At 59.3% G+C, this 9259-nt stretch overlaps 1 protein-coding gene across 5 annotated transcripts in view; it reads right to left on the bottom strand.

The window, feature by feature from the left end:
- The window catches only part of DLGAP4 (DLG associated protein 4), a 222295-nt gene extending 214262 nt beyond the window's left edge, over positions 1 to 8033 (bottom strand). For all 5 annotated transcript variants that reach the window (NM_014902.6, NM_001365621.2, XM_011528689.3 and 2 more), the window contains exon 1: positions 7860 to 8033. The gene's annotated coding sequence lies outside the window, so the exon portion shown is untranslated. The remainder of the gene's footprint in view (positions 1 to 7859) is intronic.
- Between the last annotated feature and the right edge of the window lie 1226 nt (positions 8034 to 9259).

The raw sequence follows: 9259 nt of genomic DNA, 5'->3' as shown, positions 1-9259 counted from the left end.
CCACACACACACCACACCACACACACACACACACACACACGCACACACACAGGGAGTGGGAAGGACCCCGAGGCCAGCCCTCCCTCCTTGTCCCCGCCTGCACTCTCCCAGAGTCCCCTGTGAACCAGATCTATGAGGGTTGGATGCATAGATGGGCAGAGGTGGGCCTGGCCCCAGGTCTAGTCGACACCCCCAGGCCGCCCAGAGCCACCCGCCTCTGCACGCGCTTCTGCTCCCAGCACGCTGTCCCTGGAAGGCCTTGTGCACTCCCAGTCCTCCAGGAATCCCTCACACCCCGAGGTGGCAGGTCCCTGAGGAAGTGTCAGATGCCGACACCCCTTCACCTGCCGCCACACTCACTTTGAGGATAGGAGCTGTAGGTCAGGTGGGGAAGCTCAGAAAATTCCAGCAGTACCAGGTGGGGCTCAGAGAAGGGTAAGGCAACCCCAACATCACCTCCTGACTCTTGCTGTTCCGATGGGGTAACTGAGACCCAGAGAGGGCACAGGGAGGTGCACAGTTGCCCAGCTGGCCTCTTGCCTGGGGTCTACCTTCTCACCTGGGTGCATGAATCACACACACCTGGGTTCAAATCCTAGCTCTACTACCCACCAGCTGTGCAGCCTCAGTTTCCCCAGATGTTAAAACGGATGACCACAGCACCTTGCTCCCTCAGCTGCAGGGTGTGCCCATGGAAAACACAGGCGGCAGAGAGCCCTGACTCTATCTCCAACCCAGCAGTCTCTGGACCACGGCCCTGCCCCCCCAGCAGCAGGCCAAGTCCAGCCAGGAGCTCCTCTCCAATTGCAGGTGACCCCCCCCCACCCCAGAGCTGTCACTGCAAAGCTGCCTGGTCAGCCCCAGAATCTCACAGCCCAGCCCTCACAGTACACACTGTTCAGAAAAGGCAGGCAAGCATGCCAGGGTCACACAGCAAGGCCTTGGCATGCTGAGACTCCAACTTGGGCCCTGTTCAGCTGAACCTCCAGTCCTGAGCCTCCCACTCCCTGAGTGGATCTGGCAGAGCTGAGGAGGTGCCAGGGCTTAGTGGCAGCCACGGAGGGAGAAAGGCAGGCAGGCAGCTGGGGGTGGTGGGAAGAACCTTTCCCCCTGTCTCTAGCAAACCCAGATTCCCGTTTACAAGCTGCACTCCAGAGTCCTCGGGTGCTGCGTCACTGCACGCAGTCAGCCTGCAGTGGGGGAAGGAAAGGCTCCCTCCCCATGACAGGAGCTGGAAGATAGAGGGCAGTGGAGAAGCCAGGCGGCAGGTCAGGGGTGAGGGCAGTGAGGACTCCCTGACACCGCTCAGAGGGAAGCCCAGCTCGTTTCATCCCTGAAGTCACAGAAGGCTAAGCCGGGAAAGACTCAGAAACCAAACTCCCACCTCTACTCCCACCAAGTAGATGGAGGCCCAGAGAGGTGCAGGCAATCAGTTAGGGACACACAGCAGTAGCAAACCTGCTCGTTCCTCTTACTACAAACCCCCAGATACCCAGCACCCATGTCCTGGCAGCTGCAACAGAAAGCCTCCCGGACCCACCTCTGTCTGCCCCCGCAGGCTTATCTGTCACTGCAGGAAGAAAAACACCTGAACCCAGAGGCCGAGTGCTCACTCCTAGCCCAGCACCCGGGGTGCAGAGTCCCACTGCCCCCACCAGCACAGCACCTCTTCAGGGCGTTGTTCTAATCCCCCATCTTGAGTCCCAGTGCAGTGCTAGGTACACAGCAGGCGCTCCATAAGTGCCTCAATAAGTCTTTTGCTCCATTTAAACACCAGGATGCCTGCCCCATTTCCACATCATCAAAGACAGAACCTGCCCACATCTTATGCTTTCTAAAGATGACCCCCTCATGCACCAAATGTTCCATTAGCCACTTTTGAAGCAGACTCCCAGAGGTGGGTGACCTGCGCAGCCCTTCTCTCACCTAAGAGGAGCGCAAATGTGACTGCAGCCGGGGGGCGGCTGCACTGTGTGTGTGTGTGTGTGTGTGTGTGCGTGTGTTCGCGCGTGCATGTGTGTGTGTGCGTGTGCATGTGCATATTGAGGGCTCTACCTTTTCCATGAACGGTCCCAGGAGCCAAATATCTTGTTCTTCCTCACCAATGGACTGCCGGTCATGGTCACTCCATATCACTCCACGTGCCCCGTGAGAAGCCTGAGAGATGAGCTGGCTTAACCAGAATTGCATGCTGGGGAAGCACAGCGGAGCCGGGAGAGAGGCCACAGTTCTCCTCTGATGCCCATCCCTTGGTACCCGTGAACCTCACAGTTCAGATGGGGCCTCTGGCGGGGCTGGGGGAGGTGTGGCCACTGACAGCAGAGCAGCCACTGAGTCCAAGGGTGGTCCCAAGGCTGCTCTCCAGACCAGACCCAGCTCTGCCCCCAGCGCATCTGTTCAGGTTCCCCAAAGCCAGGAACTGGGTCTGCTCCACTTGATTCCCTCCCCACCCAACGCTTGCTGTGGAACAAACGGGAACTTCAGAATCCCCAGAACATGGGGCTAAGACCAGCCTCTAAACTCTAACTGACTTACGTCCAAAGCCCGGCCTCTGTCTTCCAGCCTCTGTCATGGGGAGGGAGCCTTTCGTCCAAACCCTGGCACCTCCACTTCACCGGCTGTGCAGCATTGGCTCTCTGTGCCCCAGTTTCCTCTTCCATAAAATGGGGGTGATAATCATAATAGGGTGTGAGGGAGGCTGAAAGAGAGTCCGGACATCGGTGCTCACTAACAGAGGGCTGAGCAGTGCACATGGCCTGGGAGATGGTCTAAAATGCTTTGTTGAAGGAATGAATGAATGAAAAGAAATGCTAGCCAGTGATACAGTTATTATTATTATTATCATCGTCAACATCAGTAGGGATCCCCAAGCCTGGTTTTGCAACCAGCCCTGGTGAGGGGTGTAGCAAAATTCTCCAAACAAAATGTGCTTCCATTCATTTTGGGTTTTTGAAAAGGCCACGTCAGACAGCTCGGTAGGGAGGAGGCGGCGTTGCGAAACCCAGCACAGAAGGATCCTGGGCCCCACTCCTCGGCTCAGGAAATAATGTGTGATCTGCAAGTGAGAAGCCCCTAAACGCTGCCCTCCCTGCAAGGACCCAGTGAGAGGGGCGCCTCGGCTGAGGGTCCACCCCCCCCACCCTCCGAGTGACCTTGGGCAGCCACCCAACCACTCTGAGCCTCAGTTTCCTCATCTGTCAAATGCAGACAATATCCCTTTTCATTCCTAACCCTGGCTGTGGCTAGAAGATGGGGGGATGAAATGGGTTCTGCAAACTGTAGAGTACTGCACGTGCTGCACACCCCTAAAGGCTTCAGTCCTGGCCTGGAGGAGTTGCCAGGAGACGCTGTGGAGGGGATATAGGAACAGAACAGGCAACCCTCTCCCCCATAGGTCACAATGAAAGAAAATCTAGTCATGTGAGTCACAAAGCATCCCCCCATATTCCGATAAAGTAGGAAGTGGGCTTGTCTTTGGTGCAACACACAGGACTCCTCGGTGACAGCTTTTCTCAAAGATGCCCAGTGAGTTTGCTCTCCAGCACCCTCACTCCCTTAACCAACAGGGTCATCTGTTAGAAGAAACTGCCAAGCCTCGCCAGCCCCACGCTGATGCCAGCCCTGGGAGCTTACACACAAAAGCTGTCCTTCAAAGCCACTACAGCAAACCCAGTGGCTTGCTCTGGATCCAAACCCTGGCACCTCCACCTCACCAGCTGTGCAGCCTTGGAGACCTTACTAATAAACTAAACTAATGCTCAGTTTCCTTGTCCAGAAAATGGGAGGACAGCCCACCAGATGCCCCAAGATGCAGGGCTCCCAGGATCACAGACTTCGGACAGTGGAAGGCAGAAGGTCCCTCAGAGATCATCAGGTCCAAGTCTTCACTTTATCAAGGGAGCCCAGAGAGGGGACACGCCTCATCCAAAGAAACACAGCAAATTCGCAACAGGGCTCCTAGAAGAGTGGATGCCGACCATGACTGCACCCTACTCCCTCCACCACCAGCCTCCCTGTGGCCCACTCAGGAGTGGCCACCTCCTCTTAGAAGGACACATAACCCTCAGCATCCCCAAGCTCAACCAGCATGTGGCTGCCTTCCTGCCTTTATCCATGCAATTCTTTTCTTTTCTTTCTTTCTTTCTTTCTTTCTTTCTTTCTTTCTTTCTTTCTTTCTTTCTTTCTTTCTTTTTTTTTTTTTGTAGAGACAGGGTCTCACTATGTTGCCTAGACTAGTCTCAAACTCCTGGACTCAAGGAATCCTCCCACCTTGGCCTCCCAAAGTGCTGGGATTACAAGCATGGGCCACTGTGCTTGTCCATGCAGTTCTTGCAGCCAGCAGTGTCCTTCCCCACTATTCTCCATCTACCCAAATCCCCAAATCCTCCAAAACCCTGCTCAGCGCATGTCCTTTATGAAGCACTTCCAGTGGTTGGACAGCACCAGTCTCCATCACTAGGAAGCACCTGGCAGGATGGCTACAGTTTACAGAGTGGGGTCCTCACAGGTTTGACTCTGTGTCCCCAAGCCTGGCACAGGGCTGGACACTGAGTGGGCCTCAGGAAGCACTAGTAGCCCAAAGAACGGACAGAGGACTAGGAAATGGAAGAGTGAACAGGCCAGTGACCTGGCGAGTGAAGGAAGGGCTGAACAGGTAAACAGGTGATGATGTGAGCAAATGAATGGCCACAGGGGGAAATGCCTGGCCAGGGGCACACCTCTAAAGATGCCAGGTCTGCCCCAGCATGGCCCCTCTCCCTCTTGTAGAGACTTTGGGGTCCCACAGACCTGCTGGGACTTTAGGGGCTACAGGCCTGTAACTCCCACAGATCCTGGCTAAATGCCTCTGGGTATGCAGACCCAGCTGGAGGCCAGGAACGCACATGGACAGTCATGTTGGCAATGGCCTGGCCAAGTCTCCCCCCATTCCCCAGAGCCCAGCCCTCCACTCAGAATGGACCAGGTCGTCAAAAGTCAAAAGAAATGGATGAGTGCACACGTTGAGCCAAGACATCTTCTCAGCACCAGAGGAATGGCGTGAAGAGACAGGCACGACCCTGCCCTTCTCCACACCAGCCACACCCAGAGACATCCAAGAAGGATGGGCACGGGGTAATGAAGCAGAGGCCCACGGGGCTGGGCGGGTGGTGACAGTGACACAGCCTGGCCTGGGCATCGAGGAAGGCTTTCTTTTGGAAGCGATGCTTAAGCTTGGGTGATGAGCAGTAGTGAAACAGGCACGTGGGAGAAGGGGGCTGGGGATGTTCAGGCAGAGGAGCCAGCATGTGTGAAGACCCTGAAGCTGGAGGGAACGTGGCCTGTTCCAGGAACTGAAGGCCCGCCAGGGGGACCCGAGCCAAAGAGGGAGGGGGTGGGGAGCAAGAGGTGGCTAGAAAGTAGCTAGTTGGGGGAGGGGGAGGTTGGGTTTCATCCTGGGAGCCATGACATTTATTGAGTACCTACTGTGTACTTTCTATAAAAAAAAACCCTGCATTCAAGATTTTATTAATTCACATTTCAGAATGTTTAAATGAAAGTGTTCAAATGCACTGATGTTAGCAAATGCGATTTTCTAATGCTTTTCTGAATGAATGAATACCCATCACGGAAGTATAGGAGGGTAGGGACCACCTGCTTCTGTCACATACGGTGCCCGGGATACAGTTCCTCAGAGCCTCCCCATCATGTGAAACTGCTGGCATTTACGAAGCCTGTGGCTCACAAACCACACAAGAACCTAATGAGATGTCAGTGGGTGCCCCGATACATCCGATACGTCAGCGTCTCCCGAAAGCTCCAAAGCACACATTCTCTCCTAGTTCCCAAGTGCTGCACAGCCTTCCTTCAAAAACACCAACTCAGCTGCCAGGCAGCTTCACGCCCGGGGCACAGCCCTCAGACCTGCAGTTCCATCTCAAGGCTGGCACCCGGGGTTCCACATAACCCAGCCATCAGGTCCCGTCCAGCTCACAGTTTCTCTTCAGCATGGACACTGTCTCCAATGCCTGACACAGGCTGCCTCCCCCAACAAAAAAGAGGCTCCTGGAGGTGGGGACCCTGTCAGCCATTGCACTCCCCAGCGCCCAGCACAGGCCTCACCAGGCCTCTGGCAGGTGAGTACGGGGTCGCCATGGACACCACACACGGGCACACTCCCAGAAGTTGAGTTGCGCTGTCCCAGCTCCTGGAGGACACAGGATCCCTGGCCTACCCCTGCCACAGCGGGAGACAGGCACTCTAGCCAGCCCCACGTGCACAGCCAGCGTCTCCGGAGCTGCTGGGAACACACTCGGAGTCTGCTGCTGACTGGCCCCGACAGCCGGCTCTAGGGCCTGGTGGTGGCTCCAACACTCCAGCCACCCATCGGCCAGGCCAGGGCACCAGCTCTGCAGCCCCACCCTGGGACCAGGCAGCCCAGTGCCCTCTGGCAGAGAAGGCAAGAGAGAGGTGGCCACCAAGGAGGGACAGAAACAGGGCTCTTCCAACAGGCATTCTAGGAGATGGTCCTGTACAACTGATTCCCACCACTTCCAGCTGGCGGAAAACAGCCCCCTCCCACAAGTGAGGGCTCAGAGGCAGAGAGAGCCAGGACTCCCCCCTCCCTACTGGGGACTAGGCTTGGAGAGGAGGTGCAGTGGAGGTAGAGGCAGGGCAGGCCAGTCCCCCGGGGGCTGGAACTGCAGCCCCCTCCCGCTATGTCATTTCCACTTCCAGGCAGGTGGGGGTGCCAGGAACCCTCTCCCCATCAGCGCTGCCCTCCAAGCTTAGGGCTTCCCATTCTCAGGGCACCTCCTCTACCCACCGCTCCCGGCACAACTGGCCTTTGCCAATCACAACCCCTCCCCCATTTCATTTTTTCCCACATCAACAGTCTCTGACAGCCCCTCTCTGCAACACAGGCAGCGGAGGAAGAAGGGGAGAAGGGCCGGAGGGATGGAGGGATGGAGGGATGGAGGGATGAAGGGATGGAGGGGGATCGGAGCGGCAGGTTCGGCCAAAAGAGACCAAGGGCCATTACACGTCCAGGTAGCACCTGTCCCCTTCCAGCAGGCCCAGCACATCTGGACCCAGCTGGTCCCCGCGGCCACCTGGTCCATCCGCCACCAGCTCTGAACGCGAACCCCTGTCTCCGCGGGGCGCCGCACGTGGGGGCCTCCGGTAGCCATGTGAGTGCCCCCCCAGCCCAGGTGCCCGGGTCAGCCCAGCCCCTCCCAGGGACGCAAACAGGGAGGGGGCGCTATGCAGCGCGGGAGGGGGGTGCTGCCCCCGCCCCCTCCCCAGATGCCAGGTCAGGGAAAGAGCTCGGGAAGGGGGGAGCCGGCGGCTCCCGGGTCTACCGAGACGGGATCCGAGGCAGCTGGGTTGAATGGAGGAATGCCCGGGCCGGCATAGCCCTGCTCTCCCAAGCGCCAAGGTTGGCCGGGCACGGGAGGGGTCCGCCTGACCCCCAGGCCGCCCTGCGGATTAGGGGGCGGGCCTGAGGAGGGGGCTTCCAGGCTTTGGCAGCCGCTTGATATGGGGTACGGGGGAGTCCGCGGGAAAAAGAGCCGGAATGGGGATCCGGTCCCGGACAGGGGTTCCGGGCCCCGGTGCCGCCGCCCCCGATTTGAGGGTCCGGGGAGACATGGATGGGGCGATCCCAACCGGAGAAGGCGCTTCCCAGCCGCACAGCCGGCCCCTCGGACCCGGGATCGGAAGACAGAACTGGCAGGGGAGGGGGCTTTTCTGCGCCAGCGCCGTCCCCCGGTTCAGGGAGGTCTGTCGGGGAGGAGACCAGATCGGGGGGTCTAGCCGAGGGACGGAGCGCGCCGGCCCGGGAAGGGGGTAGGAGCCGCCGCGCGCCACCCCCGCGCCCTCACCTGCGCCGGGCGCCTCGGCCGCCTCCGGCCCGCTCTGCCGTTCCGCTGCGCCGCCGCCGCCTCTCGGGTCCGCTCGCAGGTCCGCGCGCCTAGGCCCCGGCCCCCGCCCCGGCTCCGGCCCGCGGGCGCCCCATGCCTCTCCTCCGGCCGGCGCGGCGCCCCAGATGCGGCTGCGGGAGGAGGAGCCGTGCGGCCCCGGCTCCCCGAGAGCGGCGGGGAGGGGGCGGGGAGAGGGGAGAGGAGCGCGGGGGAGGGGGCCGTGCGGCTGCGCCCAAAACCAGGCGCGGATCGGGCCGCGGGCGCGGGGCTGGGGGGGCCTTGGGGGGGCCCGCGCCGTTCCTGGCGCCCCACCCCCACCCACGCCCCCGCAACCCGGGGGAAGGGGGAGGGTCTCCGCAGCGGGCGACCGCTCTGTCGCGATCCGGAAGAGCGCTTGGAAATCCGGGGCCGCCAGTCCAGAGAGGGCAGGCTACTGGAACAAGGTCACACAGCGCGGGCCGCGGTGGCACGGGAGCCTGGAACCCCAGGCTACGGGGCGGGCCGGCAGGAACCTGTGTTGACCATCGCCGCCCCGTGGAGGAGGGAAACTGAGGCCCAGAGAGAACGAGACTGGCCCGGGTCACACCGCGCCAGTCAGGAACCACCCCACCCCCGAGAACTTGGGGCTCCTGCCTCTAGGAATGGGTGCCCCCTCCCGGTGACCTGCTTCCGCAGAACCCTCTCCCAGGTGTCTTCTAGCCTCTGGCTGAACGGGGGTTAAATGCAGTCTCTGGAGTGGGATGAACCTGAACTGCGTACCAGCCCTGCCTCTCCTGGCTCTGTGGTTACAGACAAAAGACTGTCCCTCTCTGAGCCCCATTCCTCCACCTGTAAAATGGGGACACCACGAGTCTCTATCCCCAACTTGGGTGAGAAACCAAAGAGATCATGGGTATGAGCTCTTTACCGGTGCCTGGCATTCAGTAGGTGTCAAATGAATGTGCCTGCCTTCTCTGGCTCCCACACACAGCCATCTCCAGAGAATGCCTCTGAATGCAGAAGGGTCAGAATGGCGTGAAAGGGTGGCCTGCAAGGCTCCTCACAGCCCTGTTCCAGTCTCCTCCACCACCCACCCACCCTGCTCACATCCCCAACCCAGTGATGACTGTTTCAGTGCCCAGCCTCTGCCTTTCCCTGTGCCTGCCATGCCCTCCCACCTCTCTACCTGACAAACTCCTACTCATCCATCAAGGCCCAGAGCAATCTGTTTCGTACCCCAGCTTCTCACACTCCCTACTAGTCTACCCATATTTCCTTTCTCCAGAACACATTCCCCTTTCCCCAGTGTCTGGTCTGGGTTTGTCTCTATCTTCTCTGGCTCTAACAACTGGGGTGAGAGGAGGTCACTCAGAGGAGATGAC

Source organism: Homo sapiens, chromosome 20 (genome assembly GCF_000001405.40).
Source record: "Homo sapiens chromosome 20, GRCh38.p14 Primary Assembly".
In the NCBI taxonomy this organism is placed as follows: Eukaryota; Metazoa; Chordata; class Mammalia; order Primates; family Hominidae; genus Homo; species Homo sapiens.
Note: the sequence above shows the minus strand (reverse complement) of the source record. Positions and strands in the feature narration are given on the sequence as shown.